The sequence below is a fragment of the Homo sapiens genome, chromosome 3 (genome assembly GCF_000001405.40).
Source record: "Homo sapiens chromosome 3, GRCh38.p14 Primary Assembly".
Taxonomy (NCBI): Eukaryota; Metazoa; Chordata; class Mammalia; order Primates; family Hominidae; genus Homo; species Homo sapiens.
The window spans coordinates 76,865,271-76,883,354 of record NC_000003.12 but is presented as its reverse complement, the minus strand read 5'-3'; the positions used below and the strand labels follow the sequence as shown (position 1 = coordinate 76,883,354).

The 18,084-nt window shown below is 35.6% G+C and overlaps 1 protein-coding gene across 29 annotated transcripts in view, besides 1 other annotated feature; it reads right to left on the bottom strand.

Moving 5' to 3' along the window:
* The window catches only part of ROBO2 (roundabout guidance receptor 2), a 1,743,290-nt gene that overhangs the window by 766,610 nt on the left and 958,596 nt on the right, over positions 1–18,084 (bottom strand). The window lies entirely within an intron of this gene.
* Positions 5,570–5,770: a silencer, noted in NCBI's record as "peak4713 fragment used in MPRA reporter construct". NCBI's record gives its function as "represses an SCP1 promoter by STARR-seq MPRAs in K562 erythroleukemia cells {active_cell/tissue: K562}" and the evidence as "EXISTENCE:reporter gene assay evidence [ECO:0000049][PMID:32103011]".

Genomic DNA, 18,084 nt, shown 5'->3' with positions numbered 1-18,084 from the left:
TGTTAAATAATTAAGAATAGGTTTCAATGAGATTTAAAGATTTTTTACATGCTGATGATGTAGAAGTCTACTTTTTCAGGCTCACAAAGTAGACTTTTATGCTGTGGACTTTTAAAAGAATATACAAGAATTTTCCAATGAGGATTTTAGTTCAGCCATTTATATCTTATGTGTATATAGAGTGCATAATACATATGGGTATTTTTTAGTAATTAAAATAGTTATAATATGTCAGACAAATGCTTTATAAAATCAGGGAAACCCTAAAATAGGTTATCTAACGGGTGATGATGGTGTTTTTGTTTGGGATCATGTAAGCAAAAGAGGCCATTCTCCTTCCTGTAGGCAGAATTCCAGGTTAATATCCTTTTACAGATACAAGTAACGCTAACATACACAAAACAAACTGATAATGGAAACAAATTATGGAGACTGAATCCAAAACCATTTGAAATGTCATGTTTAAGAGTTATTCACCTTCAAAATTATCATTCAAAGATGGAGTAGCTTAAAGCTTCTATGCAAGAGTTGAGTTTCCAGTGTAATAAAATTTTAGTTTCCTAGTACAAACGTACAAGAATAAATTTCATGGATGGGCAGAAAAATTTAACAATGAACAGATACAGTAAGAAATGGGAAAAATGTTTTCCCCGTAAGATTCTGATAGATTTTTAAAAGCATATAACCTTACTGTAAATTTGTATTAGAACTGTATGTTTTGCTAATTTTATTTTTAGTTACTTGGGAGTATTTTTTGTTGAGTATGCTAAGAAACACAGGTAACAGGCACTGAAAGTGCTAAAAACACTAATGCTGTTTTCACTTGAAAAAAAAAAGTGTTTTTAAAAGCTATTTTGATACCCTGAAAGTATTTGTAATATAGGGCGGGGATGGGGGAGTGACCGAGTCCTGAAAGAGGAGTGATGACATTACACCTTCAAATGTGCTAAATGTGAACTTAGTAGGTAAAACCGAGAAAGATAAACTCAGCTGTGGAACACATGAAATAATTCTGATTTTGAATGTGACACTAAGAGATTGCCAGATACTTGTTTCACCTCTGCGAGAATTTGTACTGTTGAAACATTGGATTTTACATCTTGAAACATGGATTTTAACTAACAACCACAGCAACAACAAACCCAAACCTACAACCACCAAATCAAAACAAAATGAAACAAACATCACCCACGCACACACACCCCCCCAACCAACCTACCACCCAAAAGACACACACACAGACACACACACACACACACACACACACAACCAACCTACGACCCAACAGACACAGTGGTGATCCTGCTGAGCCCAGCCACCCACATACACACACACACAACCAAACTACCACCCAACAGACACACACACACACACAAAACCAACCTACCACCCAACAGACACACATACACACACACAACCAACCTACCACCCAACAGACACCCTGGTGATCCTGCTGAGTCCAGCCAAACAGTAATTACAAGGGAAGGCATGAAAGCCACCAGATGGAATTAGGTTTGATCACAGCATCAGGCCTGGCCTCCACACATTCTGCCATAGCCAAGGCCATAATCACAGGGCCCCATTTAGATGCCACGTCTGGGTCAAAAGACATATTCAGAGATCTAAATAAGCATTTTGAGTAAGAGAAAACTATTGACCTATGAACTTCTTTATTTGCATGTAGATTTTCATTCAACATGTAATTTATTCCAATGTAAAATAGAAAATACATATTTTGTATTCCAAGAATAATTTTGCAGCAGATATATGTCCTTATGTTGATATTATTCTAATTATTCCAAGAGTTTGTATTTTTTACATGTTTGAAAATGGCATTAGGAAGTGAGTAGTCTGACAATGCAATGTAGCAGATGAAGTCCAGAAAAAGAAAAGTCTCATTTAGGTTAAGTCTATTGCAGCCATACTTTTCTAAGTTTAAAACGCAAGAAATAGTGTATTTCTAAGGACCCTGCACATTTCCACATTCAGTCACTCTAAACGTCTTTATATTTACTTCACTGTTCAGACTCTAAGACATAGAAATACATTTACCTTCTTTGATTTTAATATCCTAGAGAACAAGTATCATTAGATGTGTCAGAGATTAGTGTCTTCAGTTTTAAGGATTAGCTCTTGTATAATTCTCCGCACTCTGACCCAATTTAATAATAGAGAAAGAGATACAGGGCACTGTGGTTAATTGTAGAAAATGATTGCCAGTGACTATTTTCTGGGTCTGGGAAGCTATGTGAAAGATCAAACAGTACACAAAACTAGGTACAGTGTATTGTAATTAAGCATCACAGCTAATGGCCCTCGAACAAAACTCTGCTGGAAGAAACAGTGATTAGAGACACCTGCAGGTTAATAATTAGAGGCATCTGAGCACAGAAGCAATTAATATAGGAAAACTCTCCCAGGAGAGAAAAGGCTGAATAATAAACAAAATAAGATTCTTTCCAAATTCCTATCTTAAAATAGTCCGTGTTAATAAAGTATCACAAAGTCCAAACTTCTAAGAATGCTTAAAATGCCTATTAGTTTGATCTGTGGCATATTCTTTTAAATTCACTGTACTCATACATGTTTTCATCTAGCGTTATCAAGAATGAACCTTTTACTCCATTTAACAAATGAGTATCAAACAATTTGGGGCTGTTAAGGATCATATATGAGAACATAAGTTGTATTTTGCTAGGCAAAACAAAGACCACCAACATTAAAATCATGTCTAAATTCCTAGAATTTTTAAAAAGGCCTCCAAAAAATTCAAATTTTTAAGTTAAAAACCATACTAACATGTCTAATGAACTAGTTATAAATGAAATGTTTTATATTTAAAGTTTGAAACCACTTTGGTCTTCATATAGAAACACTTACACCATTTCAGGACAGCATGCTTTTTTATACTCAATAAATACTTTTGCCTACACACTGAAATATGTTCAGCTAGCATACATTTCTTTATTTGTGCTGATCATCTTTTAATCTTTATTTTATATGTATGTATATGCATTTCTTATTTCAAAATTTTATCCGGTTTAGCCATCTTAAACACATAATATTCAATTAGGTCCCACTGTTCATTTTCTGTTCCAAGCTGATTATGAAAGTAGATGTTTTGAGGGTATGTAGCAAAGGCTAATGTATTCCTAGGCCAAATGGAAAAATGATAAACCGGGAAAAAGGGAGACATTAAAGGACATTAAAGGACTGTTCTGACCATGTGACCTAATCATTAAAAAACACTTCGAGGGGAGAAATTTCAAACATTACAGAAATAAGGATTCATGAATTATGTATGACCATAAAGGCCCTTGGAAAACATGTAAAACCCAAGCCCTAAATCATTACTCTGAGAACTACTTCTATTATTTTTCTTTGTCTTATAATGAGTAATTTGCATCAGAAACCCAATGCATTTATATCCTACAGCAAAATTTACTCAGTCAAATGTGAAAGACATCATATTACACTCCCAATATATTTTTGCTTTTACCTTCTTAATAGTGTCATCTTTTGTTAATCAGGACAGATAACGAACAGTTTAGAACACAATGGTTTTCATTTCAGATAACTATAATCAAAGTTAACTACGAATAAACATTGTAGACAGTACTGGTACAATATATATTAGTTTCATTATTATTATCATATGATCATCAGTTTAATGACTCTGGATACAACCTATAGCAGATTTGTTCTATTACTGTATCCCTAGCTTCTTGATTGTGTTTGTTTGCTTTGATCTTCTGGACTTGAAATAACGACAGAGGCCTCTTCACATGTATTCTGCTTGTTGGCAGTTTTACTTTATAGTTATGTTGGTCGATTGATGTTTAAATTTGAATTTTCTTCTTCATATTATTTTTTCAGAGGAAGAGAGTTCACTTCTTGGGATTGCTTAGATTTTTCCCACTACCACCTATTCTCTAGCACCTTGATAAGCAAAATGATATTTCATGGACCTCTCCCGGGAGCTTGTTAGAAATGCAGATTCTTAGACACACACCCCAGACCTACTAAGTTGGAAAATCTACATTAACCAGATTCTCAGGTGACCCAAACGCACATTAAAGTTGAGAACTGCTGAACATACTGATCTGAAAGTGAATACATGATTTTTCTCTTCTCCCCTTCACATTTCCTTCGACTATGTTTTCAATATAAAAGGGTCAATTAAATACGACATGAAAACTCAGTAGAGCAATGAACGTTTACATAAAAGTAGAATTAGGAAAATCACCTGATGAATCTTTTTGCTGAATAAATCATCTGGGTTTCTCCGATTGACATTTACATTTAAAATGAATTAACTTCAAATTTAAGAATATTATTAAATCATTCCCTCTACATATTTCTGAGTCAAGTTGAATATGTTAATTCTTTTTCTTTTTAATATTAGAAACTTTAGCCGTACTATTTCTCTCTGTAAATACCTGAGAAGGAAAGTGGAGCATGAAACAGATCATCAAGAGATTAAAATGAACATTAACCCTGTTTGTTTTTGCATTATTAAAATGCAGTTTAGGATTTTTGATGGCTATCTTGTAAGCCACTAGCCTTGTTTCACTTACAGCTCTAATCTAATTTTTAAGGTATCTCTGGGTGTCTGAATAAACACCATTGGTGTGCTAAATGAAGAACTAGGCTACTTCTTCCTCCAACTATAAAAACTATGTTCTCCCTATTGAATAAACGAGAAAAGAAAATACGGCTAGTTGGCAAAAATTTACTTGGTAATCTTGGTACACAATTTTCATATTGGTCTTAGGTCAGATTTTCTTATTCAGTATGACATTGTGGCAATGTTCTGGATGTTTTTGAATATAAAACAATGATCAGATCATATTTCATTTATTTTATACTTATTTATGTGGGAAATGTTCAAAGGAGTTCTGAATTCTTTTTATTTTAAGCCAATTACATACCATTAGAACCAAAAGAATAAATTTTAGTGAAAAAGGTATCGATAAGGAGGGAATAACAGATAAAGCACCTTGTGTCATTTTTTTGTTTGTCTTTATTTCATTTCATTTAACATTAGCTGCTTATGAGTCTTTCCAAAAAGATACACAAAGTATTAAAAATACATTAACAATTATCAGCCAGAGGTAAAACATTTCTTCCATTCACTTCTCTATCCATTTTTATAAGGTTTTTTTTGAAGACGTCATGCATTAAGGAAACTTTTTTTAACTTAAATGTGCTCAATGCATCATAGGGTGGAATGCTATGGACTGAATCATACTCCGACACCAAATTCATATGTTGAAGTTCTAATCCCTAATGCCACTGCATTTGGAGATAGGGCTTTTAGAAGGTAATTAAAGGTTGAATGGTCATATGGGTGAGGCCCTAATCTGATAGGTCTGGTGGCCCTATAAGAAGAGGAAGAGAGAAAGATGAAATCTCCATGTCTCCTTCCTTCTCTCCCTTCTCCTCCACCTTGCCCTTTCCTTTCCTCCTGCCCTTTTACTTCTTCCTCTCTCTCTCTGCACTTAGGAAAGGCCATGTGAGCAAACAGCAGGAAGGTAACTGTGCAAGCCAGAGAGCCCTAATCACAACTCAGCCATTCTGGCACCCTGATCTTGAGCTATGCGCCTCCAGTATTGTGAGCAAATAAATTGTTGTTTAAGCCACCCAGTCTATGGTAATTTGCTATGGCAGCTGGAGCCAACTAAGACAGCAGGTTATTTATAAGACAGCAGGTTATATGTATAGACTATCTACTGTGTGCCATAGAACTTTCGAAGATACAAAGTGGAACAGAGTGGTCAAAACCAAAGCAAACATGTCATCATTTACTTCATACTAGAAGTAAAAAGCCCCTGAAGAGCTGTGTATCAACTACTGGGTTTGTATTGATCATGTTTCTCATAAACCTCCCTCCCCCAAACTCATCGTTCTAAAACATTTGTTTTTATCCTCCTTTGGCAGCTTAGTATTCCAAAGATTCCACAACCTTAGAGCACAGAATACTAAATTAATTAGGCTTGGATTTTGGCCTAACAGCGTCGTATTCTGAAAGAAAACACACTTAGGTGTGTACTGTTTGCGTACGATTAAGACTACCATCTTTTGACTAGAACCAGAGCACTTCTAAGAAAAACCTTAAGCTAATATTAAAAACTGGTCTGTGCAGAGAAATGTTATAATCTTATTTCTTTAGTGTTACTGCTATTAGAAGCCTTAACTTTCAAACACTAATAAAATGATACTATTTTATATTACATGTTCATGTACAAAACATTTGTGTAATTTTAATCTTGGAAAATATTTTTTTTCTTTACTCTTATGGAAAATGTAAAATATCCTTTTACCTAGGACTTGTAAAATATATATATGCATATGTAGATGTATTTTTTCTAAATTTTAGTGTCTTAAAAATGATAGTATCCTCTAGGAATTCATCATCATTCTAGAATATCAGAAAGCAAATCTCTGTACTTTGATTATGGCAGAGCAATAGTTCTTAATGAAAGTGCTAACACTTTCTAATTGCAGTGAAATAGCAAATTTTTGTGAATTTTTCTTCTTGCATGCAATTATTCTGGATAGGGTCTTATTTTGTTAAACACTTGTGCATTAATTATTGCAATAGTATGTAAACCCTGTATTTCTTTGCAATATATAAATTCTCACAATTAACCTTCAAGATACTCTTTTTTTTTTTTCTTGAGACAGAGTCTCATTCTGTCACCCAGGCTGGAGTGCAGTGGCATGATCTCGGCTCACTGCAGACTCTGCCTCTCAGGTTCAAGCAATTCTCCTGCCTCAGCCTCCCAAGTAGTTGGGATTAAAGGCATGCACCACCATGCCTGGCTCATTTTTATATTTTTAGTAGAGGCAGGGTTTTATCATGTTAGCCAGGCTGGTTTTAAACTGCTGACCTCAGGTGATCTGTCTGCCTCAGCCTCATAAAGTTCTGGGATTACAGGCATGAGCCACCATGCCCACCCTTAAGATACTCTTTATATAAGTCAAAGCAACTGCAAAGAAGACCTCTTATGTGTCTAATAATTGGAACAGATTCACTTGGTAACTGACCATATTTTTATAAAACTTCCATTACTCTTAGTACATGCAATAATATGGTCAAAATGTTTTCGTTTGATGAGTTAATACTTGAACAGCAAAACCATGGAGAAAGTGATTCTTCTCAAATTCATGCTTCTTATCTCCAACTTGGTGTTTGGTTCAATAGTAGGTATAGTGTACAAAATAAAGGTACCCAAAAGATGTCCATAGCCTAATCCCCCACGGTTGTGACTATGTTACCTTGACATGACAAAGGGACTGTGCAGATATGATTAAATTAAAAATCTTGAGATGGGGCATTATGCTGGAATTTCTTGGTGGGCCCAATGTAATCATAGGGTCTTTATAAGAAGGAGGCAGGGCTAGGTGTGGTAGCTCACGCCTGTAATTCTGGCACTTTAGGAGGCCAAAGCAGGCAGATCACCTGAGGTCAGGAGTTCAAGACCAGCCTGGTCAACATGGTGAAACCCCATCTCTACTAAAAATACAAAAATTAACAGGATGTGGTAGCAGGCACCTATAATCCCAGATACTTGAGAGGTGGAGGCGGAGAATTGCTTGAACCTGGGAAGCAGAGGTTGCAGTGAGCTGAGATGGCACCACTGCACTCTAGCCCAGGCAACAGAGTGAGACTCTGTATCAAAAAATAAAGATGGAGGCAAAAGGGTCTGAATCCAAAAAGGAAGTATGATAGAGTTCAGAGTAAAGTGGCTATCAGCCAAAGGAAGCAGGTGACCTCTGGAGGCTGGAAAAGGCAAGGAATAGATCCAGTCAGGATCTCCAAGACGAATGCCACTTTGTTGACACCTTGATTTTAGCACCATAAAGCCCATTTGGCACTTCTGACCTCCAGAACTCTCATATGATTAATGTATATTGTCTTAAACCACTAAGTTTGTGATAATTTGTTATAGCAGCCATAGGAATCTAATACACTATGCACAGCAATTGTCTTAGTCCCTTTGTGCTGCTATAGCAAAACACCTGAGACTGGTAATTTACAAAGAACAGAAACGTATTTCTCACAGTTCTGGGGGCTGGGAAGCTCAAGATCAAGGCACTGGCACGTTTGGTTTTCTGGTGAGTGTTGCTGTCTCCAAGACTGGTGCCCCGTTGCCGCATCCTCCTGAAGTGGAGAATGCTATATCCTCACATGGCAGAAGGGATGGAAGGGGTGAAGAGGGTTGAACACTGCATGAAGCCTCTTTTATAAGGGCCTTAATCCCATTTATGAGGGAGGAGCCATCATGGCCTAATCACTTCTTCAGGCCCCACCTCTTTTGGCCATTAGTTTCATTCAACACATCAATTTTGGAGGGGACACATGCAAACCATAATGGCAAGGAAAATGTTCTCATGTTAAAACATTGAACCATAAAATCACAGACAGAATGAATTCCGTTACATATATCATATCTCAACCATGTGTTCCCACTGGGTCAGGGGATCTGTGTTCTTGTCTAGGCTCTGTCACTGATTAACTGTGTCACCTTAGGAAGTCACTTGGCCTGTCCGGGTCTGGCACCCTCTTTTTGCATCAACTGTGAAGAAATTAAATGATCATCTCTCAAATTTTGTTTACTCATTCCATGCCCCTTTAAAGTTTTCCATTTTATCTTCTGTCTATATTTTAATTTAATGTTAGTTGCTTAATTTAAGGAACTGCAGGTACATTTAAAATGCTCTTTCAAATAACCATCATTTTCTCCTCACCCCTGAGTCTTTGATATGAACTTCTGTGATAAGCTGCGGTGGAAGTGCAGGCACCATGGCCCCTCTGCTAGCTTGACAATCAGAATTTAAGTATCCTTTCATTTTGAAAATGTGTAATTTAAAACAAAACCATGTCAGCTCATCCCTGGAATTTCTTATGTAGTTTAAAAAGAAAGCAAGAGCACCCTTAGATTTTCTCAGGGAAATTTTTGGGCAATAATGAATAATGAATTGAAAGGGAAAAAAGAATCGAGAAACCTGAGGCAGCTTGAAGATGAAAAACTTGTCCCCTGTTTGACTTTGGAAGATTCTTAATGGGTGAGATGAAGTATGGGCTGACAAAAACAAAGTTAATGGTTGTTGGAAGTCAAAGCTACTTTTTTTTTTTTTATTGGTCTGAAAACAAACAACCAACTTTTACATAAAGTGTTTAAGCTAAAGCCTTTGTTTAACCTAATGGCACTTAAATTCCTTTTCTCAAATTCCCAGGGTGACTTATCTCCTTAGTCAATCAACTGTGGCTGGCCCACTAACCTGCTCCCTCTTAACTTGGGGAACTGGAGGAAATTTACATTCTTTAGCCTACTTCTGTTATGCTTCTGTTTGGTTCTCTCTCCATTCTATTTATCTTGGCTAGTGCCATTTTCTATTTCAAGGCCACAGGGGTCAATAATCAAATTAGGAGGAGGCCGAGGCCTTGTCTTTCTGGGTGGTAAACTTCAGATACACAATATGCCTCTGGCTACAGGAAATAAGGAATGCAAAGAGAACCTCTTTTCTAAGCAGCAAGCATCAGCTGCTCTTCTGTCAAATGAGCAAATTTCATGAGAAAACTTTCAGGGCAAAGTTTGTGTTGACGCCACCATTGTTTGCTGGGCAGGTTAGAGAGTGCCTGCAATCCCAGCTACTTGGGAGGCTGAAGCAGGAGAACCCTTTGAGCCCTGGAGTTTGAGACCATCCTGGGCAACATAGTAAGACCCTCATTTCATACTACTACTACGACGACGACAACGACGACGACGACGACTACTACTACTACTACTAACTACTAACTTCCTTAAGAAATGCAACTGGCAGTACAAGACCCATCAATGTATGTGAGAAGTGCCACAAGTTTCTAGAAAGCAAATTATTTATTTCATTCCATAATTTAAAGAATGTTTTATATAAGATGTTGTAAATTTAAACAAAAAGTTTTGTTTGCTGATAGTAGAAGGAGTTTCTCAAATGCTGGATGTTCTTAGGAATGTGTATAGATTCTGGATGCTAGATTTAAAAATAAAATAATTCCTATGGTTTACAAGTCTTTAAATACACCCCTTTTTCCGGTTCTGAAATAATTAAAATATTTATGAAGCTTTTTTCCTTGCCCTAGAGCACATGAACTTTGCCTTAGAAGAGGCTTAAATATTGACAGATCCATTGTAATGTGACATTTATTAACCTTTGTAATGTTTAATGTGCACTAAAAGTAATCTTGGTTTAACATTATTCTTCTGAAGAATAAGAAGTTCCTGGCTATTTTTTAGTCAAGTAAGAGTTAGAAATATAAGATTTGTTTTCTATTTTTGTAAAATATATTTAAAATACCAATATATCATCTGAATTTTTTGAACAGAACGCCACTTTTAAGTAACACTTTTAAAATTGCCAGTATCTAAATACATTTAAGATCTTCATGTTTCTACTGCTCACTTTGAAATAATGTGATTTTTTTTTCCTCCCTAGCCACATTGATGACTCTGGCTTACATAAATATAAAATACTGGACAGATGCCAAAGAAAGCAACAAAAGAAAGGGTGTATAAAGTCTTAATAATAAATATATTTATTTTATAGAAGCAGAAATATATGTAATTCAAAACCTTAGATAAATCATGTCAAAAATGCACTTCATTCATATTTAAAATTTATAGAAAACATAGAAAAAATATCCTGATGCCATATAGTTTCTTTCTCACCAAAGCTTACACAGTTTGTGGCTTTATTGATTTTAAGTTTCATAGCCTAACAAATAAGTCTACAATTCTATACCTTTTTTGGAATGTAATAAGATATTTGAAAATATAAGAATTTAAATAATATATTTCTTGAGCACTTTATGTATCTCTTTCTAATATACAGAGCTGCTTAACTTCCAAAGCCTAATATGGAATAAAAGGTTTTAAATGGATAAAAATATAATTACAGAGAAACAACAAAAAAAATTTGAGTGTTAGGGTTATGGATAATTTGTGGTTTCATTATGTTTTCTGTATTTTTTATATTTTTCTAAAATAAGACTGATTTGGTTTAGTAATTAATTTTTCAGGTCATGATACAAACATTTATTTCAGTCATATTTTTAATGTTTCTACCAAGAATACTTTGGCTTCTGGTCATCAAGATAAATCAGAAAAAGAAATTCACAGGAATACTTTCATTGGGCAGAGTTTATTGTTCAACTGATAATTACTATTTTGGGGTTATGTGCCTAAAATTTAAGAGAGATCATCTTTGTAGAATAAAAGAAAATGCAAAGTTGTTATTCTCAGTGGGTGCCTTGATTAATATTTCAGTGACATTTATGACAAATCTCCAGGTGTTATAATTTTCCAAGTTTAGAGCTTTCATGAAAAAGAAAGAATGAAAGAAAATTTTAAAAAATGTGAAGACTTACTGCTGAGTTGCAGCCTTGTCATTATTTCTGCCAGGTTTACATCCCTATGGCCATCTGCAGCCACAGCCCTTCAAGGCTAATTACATTTATGGTCAGTCTAGCTCTAATGTAAGCAAGAGCTGGTGGCTACAAGACTCTTTCTACTGTTGTCACATTAGCCAGCCAGTGGGTTTCCATGAAAAAGTTGGCTGCCATTCACAGTCACAAATCTCCAGATAATAGGTAACAATCATGACATGTGTCACGGCTCCCAATCAATTTAGTTAATTTCCCTGAAAAATATGTTTTATCTGTATAAATTCTACTAATAATTTCCTTAAGTGACTCAATGGTTGATTGGAAGTTTAGCTAAGGAGGTATTTTTCTTTTTCTTTTTTTTTCTTTTTTTGAGACGGAGTCTCGCTCTGTCGCCCAGGCTGGAGTGCAGTGGCGGGATCTCGGCTCACTGCAAGCTCCGCCTCCCGGGTTCACGCCATTCTCCTGCCTCAGCCTCCCAAGTAGCTGGGACTACAGGCGCCCGCCACTACGCCCGGCTAATTTTTTGTATTTTTAGTAGAGACGGGGTTTCACCGTTTTAGCCGGGATGGTCTCGATCTCCTGACCTCGTGATCCGCCTGCCTCGGCCTCCCAAAGTGCTGGGATTACAGGCGTGAGCCACCGCGCCCGGCCAGAGGTATTTTTCAAAGACAAAATTCTGGATTCAGTTAGTCAAATCTTCACAAAGTGCAGAGGTGTTAAAAACTAAAGTATACGGTTATTTAAGGAATTTGAAATAGTGAGTGATGACGAAATCATTTAGGAATACATTCCTTGTGCCTGACAAGAGCAAATCACTGCATGACACAAAACCAAAATATAGTCACTACGTTATGTATAATTTCAAGTCCAAGAACTACAGAGTAAGTTTCATGCTATCATTGTTGTTCGTTGTCTCTATTGGCAGAGGGCTAAATAGCTTGATGGCGTAAATCTGTTATATAAAAATGTCTATGTATTTTGTTTCTACTCTGCAAAATTCCCTTAGATAATTTCATAATTCCCATACTTAATAAAATGAAAACTAAATACATTTTATAAACCACAGTTGTTTCTCAACGTGGGTATGCAATGAAGCAATTGGCAGAGTGTTTTTTTTTAATGTTTTGTTGTTTACTTGCCAAAATAAATTTACCACTTCACCAAAAAAGAAAATAAAAAGGAACTCCAATCAGAAAGGTGGGTGATTGGAGAATATGAATAGATGTAGGGGAAGGAAACTGGATCATAACTAAGCTGAAGATTTATTAAATTAATATTTACCAAATGCCGTACTCTCTCCTGGACTCTGGGTAACCATAATGCATGAACATAATCTCTAGGTGTTCATAGTCTAGTGAGAAACTGTAGTTTAGCAGAGAGATCCTCTGGATCCATAGCCAGAGATAATCCTCACACATCTCATGGAAATGGGCTTACTACAAAACTGGAAGATCATCTGAACACATGTTTTTAAATAACAGTCTGTATGTTGGCTAAACAGAAAAAACTGGGGAAACTTATAAAAGTAGAGATTCCAGAGGCCCATATAATATTTATTGATTAGGCTCTAGAGCTGGAGTGTGAATTTATGATTTTAAATAATGTCCCCAGGTGATTCTGATGAAAGCCAGGTTTGTAAATAACTGCAAGTTTCAAAATCTTTCTCGGAGATGTAGACAAAGAGGTCAATCATTTATTTGCACAAGGCCACATAGCGGTTTGTCTCTGGGATTATTACAACTCAAACATCTGTTCAACTCACAGCACAGCCAAAGTTGCAAAAATTTGCAAATTCTAGTAGAAATCCATACTGCTTAGGGATGTTGGAAGCCTTTATACCACATCTCTCCAGCTGGTCAGTTTCTCCAGTTCCACTCTCATGCAATAGGTCCTAGGAAACTGGGTGTATTATGTGATTTGGGGTATTTTATTCCTTTGAGAGTAGAGTACTTTAATTGGGAGGAAGTCTTAGGTGTGTCATAACTGTGTGGTATTGGGCATGAAGTCTGAGTGGGAGGATGAGAATTGTTAAAGGGCCCCTCTAAACTAGAACCAGTCAAACTGAAACAACGCTCCAAAATCTTACTGCATGTCTTTGCTCTCAGTGTATGGTCTAAAGATATAAATAGACCAAACAAGTGGCAATTTTGATTATGAAGAGACTCTACTTTTTTCAATATAAATGCAGGAAATAGAATAAATTATGTTCAAGGATTTTAAAATCTTGATATTCCCAATTTCAATGGTAAGAAATTTCCAATACTAAAAAAAGATCGGCCGGGCGCGGTGGCTCACGCCTGTAATCCCAGCACTTTGGGAGGCCGAGGCGGGCGGATCACGAGGTCAGGAGATCGAGACCATCCTGGCCAACACGGTGAAACCCCGTCTCCACTAAAAATACAAAAAAAATACGAGGCGTGGTGTCGGGAGCCTGTAGTCCCAGCTACTCGGGAGGCTGAGGCAGGAGAATGGCGTGAACCCGGGAGGCGGAGCTTGCAGTGAGCCGAGATCGCGCCACTGCACTCCAGCCTGGGCGACAGAGTCAGACTCCGTCTCAAAAAAAAAAAAAAAAAAAAAAAAACATCAATTTCTACTAGGCACATAAAATATTCAACAAATACTATACATGTCCATTTGTTGCGAAAATATGTTATTTAAGTTATTAGCAATGCAAGTTTGCAGATCTACATCTGCACTGAGAGGTAGTTTACCCAATGGTTAGGACGACTTAGTTTCAAATCCTAAATTCTACCACTTATGTCACTTTCAGCAAGGTCCCTGAGCAATCTGTGCCTCAGTTTCTTCATTTATAGAATAAGCATGATTGTGTCTATTCCTTAGGGTTTGGTGAGGATTAAATGAGTTAAGAAATGTGGAGCACCTAGGAATAGAAAAAAAATGCACAGAATGATGTTTAATAAGTGTTATTATCTCATTTTCTTGACTCCTTTTTTGGTGGGGGAGGCATATCTAGTTATCCATTCTGAAAAAAGTTATTCTGGTTGCAGTTCAAAATTTTCATGTAATCATAATATTACCGATACAGATAACTGCTCCTAATATTATTTGGTGATACACCAAAGAGAAAAAATACACATTAGCACAATACGTGTTATTTATCTGATACATGCTTTTTTTTTGAGTTCCTATTAACTCTGTTTAAAAATCATCGAGTGATTTTTAGATGTTTCATAAGCACAATATGACATTTAAAGACTGGATACTTTCCCTTCATTCCTGTTGTGTTATTGTTAATCCACTTGTTGTAAAACATAATGTGATCCTAATATTCCTTATTGAGATTTTTAGCTGAGATACATATATTCGACTTAGTTATTTTAGCAACAGAGGCAACTTAGATCCAATTTGATAAGATTGCATTACCCATGCAATTTTTTATTATTTCAAACATAGAACGTTGTGATTTATTGTCTAAAAATAAGTGTTTGTCTAAATTTTAATGTATTAATGAACGTAACAAGTATGTTTTGATAGTGAGAGCTCTGTCCCCAAAGAGACAATCTGTGGTCAATTCTCGTTCATTCAGGAGCAATGATCAACACAAATATACTATGAAAAGAAAGAAGTGGAATTTGAGAGAAAGAGAAAAAATTATTTAAAAGAGCATAGTCACTGGGTAGACAGATTACACATTTGTCACCTGAAATTCAAGAAGAACTGTAGGTGTTTCAGGAAGAAAATAAAAAATCAGAAATTAGGGAGGTTGCTGAGAAAAATCCAGGTTGGGTAAAAAAAACAAATCGTAACTTACAAAATTGAAATATGTATGTATTTACTATGCCTGAAAATAGATGCCCATTGCCTATGAAAATGTGTACTATCATATGCATAGGATACTCCTAAAATGGAGCCAAATGAATGTTGTCTGATGATTTATGATGGAGAAAATTATTTTGTATCTCGAGGGGAGAGAACAATGCTAAGCCCTCAGTGCCAGGAGAAAACATTCATCTTGGAGGGTCTGAGAAACAGAATCCTTGGCATGAAATGCATACCTGATATTTTGATCATTTGCCTCAAGTATTACTGGTAACCCTGCTGCCACATCGAAAACTCCACAAAGAAAACAATGTTCTCTCTTATTGAAAGCACTTTTCCCTTTCCCTTTCCCAAGGCTCATGCAATGAGCTCAATTTCCCCAACAAAATGCAATGGTTTTCGAGGAGAGAATCAACAAGAGCTTTGTCCCAAAGAAACATTTCTTTTATTTTTAGAAAATCTTTCTAATTTGTAACAGTTTAAGTGCAAGAATGAAACTGCAAATGCATTCCATTGGAAATTGATGCCAACATTTTCTATTAAAAGAATCTGGGCAAGTCCATCGTGGTTGCATTTCTCTCATGTTGAGCAGTGTTAACGAAAAGTGTCCCCAAATTGAGCTTTAGCAATAGTGGCCTTTTAAGGTTTACATTTCTATGGGCTATGTTTTTCTTAAATCCAAACTCTGGGAGTTAAAACAAAAAAAGGCAAAACAAGTAAAATTAAAGCACCACATCCTATAACATACATAAACATTTATAAAATGGTTCCATCTTGAAAATGATCCCTGAGTGTACATTCCTCAATAGCACTAGACTGAGACTGGCATATAATGTGTAAGTGCCCATTAACCTATATTCCTTACTAAAATAATAAACGAATGCTTTATGACAGCCCGAATGACAAGTTTTTCACTGAACAAGACTTCCTGGAGAACAAAGTTCAAGCTGATAGTCCATTATATGTTATTTCCTCTTGTCTTACAAAATAACAGTAATCTAGGCTAGTGTTAATACTCTCCCAACATGTAAACACTTAATAAATGTCTGTTGAAATGAACCAATGTCCTCCCCTTTTCCTTGCTTAAAAATAAGTTGTGGTCATGCTTTTGAGTTAAAATGTAGCTACTGTTACGTTGTCAGATGGTTCACTGCATATTCTAAGTCACTTAGTGGCTTCACTCTGTCACTAGAAATGGCTGAAGAATTAACATATAGTTCATTAAATGAGTAAGATGAGGCCCTTGAGAAAATCCCAGGGGACTGGGAGGTAGTGGTTGAGATGTGCAGGTGTGTCTACTTACAGCGAGTGTGGATTATGCAAATTATCCTACTCTTCTCTTATTCAACCTGATTATGTATAAACAGTCATCCTCGTTTTTCATTTGTTTCTTGTTTGCTAAAAAGAAAATAATAAAATAAAATAAACTACCAGTTTCATAGAACAAGAGTTGGTATGCTGATTTGGGGTTTTAAACTTTTTGAGAATTAAGTGTATAGAAGTAATATAGATGAGATAGATTAACTCACAAAGAGACAGTCATGAGTGTTCCTCAAGGGCTGGAGTCTTGGATAGTGCTGAATTTATCATTATTAGTTCCCAAATGGATTAATTTTAGTTTAATGTAAATTAATAAAACCAACTATTTGGTATGCAATTAAAGTTTGTCAATAACAATATTTTAAATAAATGATGATGATGATGATGAAATAAAGCTAGAGGAAAAATAAATACAAAATAACATTTTAACAAATAGATGAAGGATTAATGTAAACACTTTATGTGATTGATAATAACAGAACCATGGCAAATACAAATAGCGTTCTTCCAAAGATTATGTTTACCTTAAAAATATGAAGCTAAATAATTTTATTGGACAGCTACATATCCTGTGCATCTTTTTCTTTTCTTTTTTTCCTTTTTTGTCAAAGCAGTTTAAGTTACTTGTCCATACGGAGTAGTAAAAATACATAGAATATTCTTTCCCACTTTGAATCTGGAAGTCCTTTGAAAAACTCATGAACTTCTCTTTCTTTGATAAAATTAAATGGACTGAAACATGCACCCTCAAGGCAGTTTTTAGATAGGAAAAGATCAAATAAAAGCAATTACACTGTAATTTGGCTGGTAAGGCTTAAAATAAGGAGCCTATTGAAAAGCTCTCTTATACTTAAACTCCTGCATAAGTAGCTCGATTTTTATGTCTAAATTAATAAAATCATGCTGAAGTACCTACTAAAATACAAGGTAGCTATAATTGATCCTAAAATTCTACCTTTGGGAATAAAATGCCTCTTAATTCAAAACGTAATACAGCATTTGTACTAGAAATTGATTTTATCAGCTCCTTTTAAGATAATTTTGGTGGGTAGAAGAGGATATTCCTTACAACTTTGAAAATTTCATTCAATACCTGTAATTAAACAAAATTTTGTTTCACTACAATGAATCAGGCTGACAAATATCAGTGACATTTATATCAATGACATTTATTTGGTAATCTGGAATAAATGGTGAGGTCAGTGTAACAAATCTGGTTATGACCTTGGTGATCCATACTTTTAAGTTAATCTAGACTGTGGTAGAACATATTAGAGTGACTCAGAGTGTGGATGAACCAGAATGTCTTCTGCACTAGTGACGGTGTAAAGCAGTACTACTCAAAGTGTGGTCCGTGGACAATTGCTAGTCCACAAACTGCTTGTTACCAGTGTGCAGAGGATTAAATACAGAACTTGAAAGCAAGCCTAGATAGCCATAGGACAGTTATTTGATGCTCTTGAATCTAATAACAATGTTAAGAATTGCTCATTTTAATCTGCATAACTTGATCTTTTCATTTTATTTTTCTAGTAATTCATTCTTTTTGTATT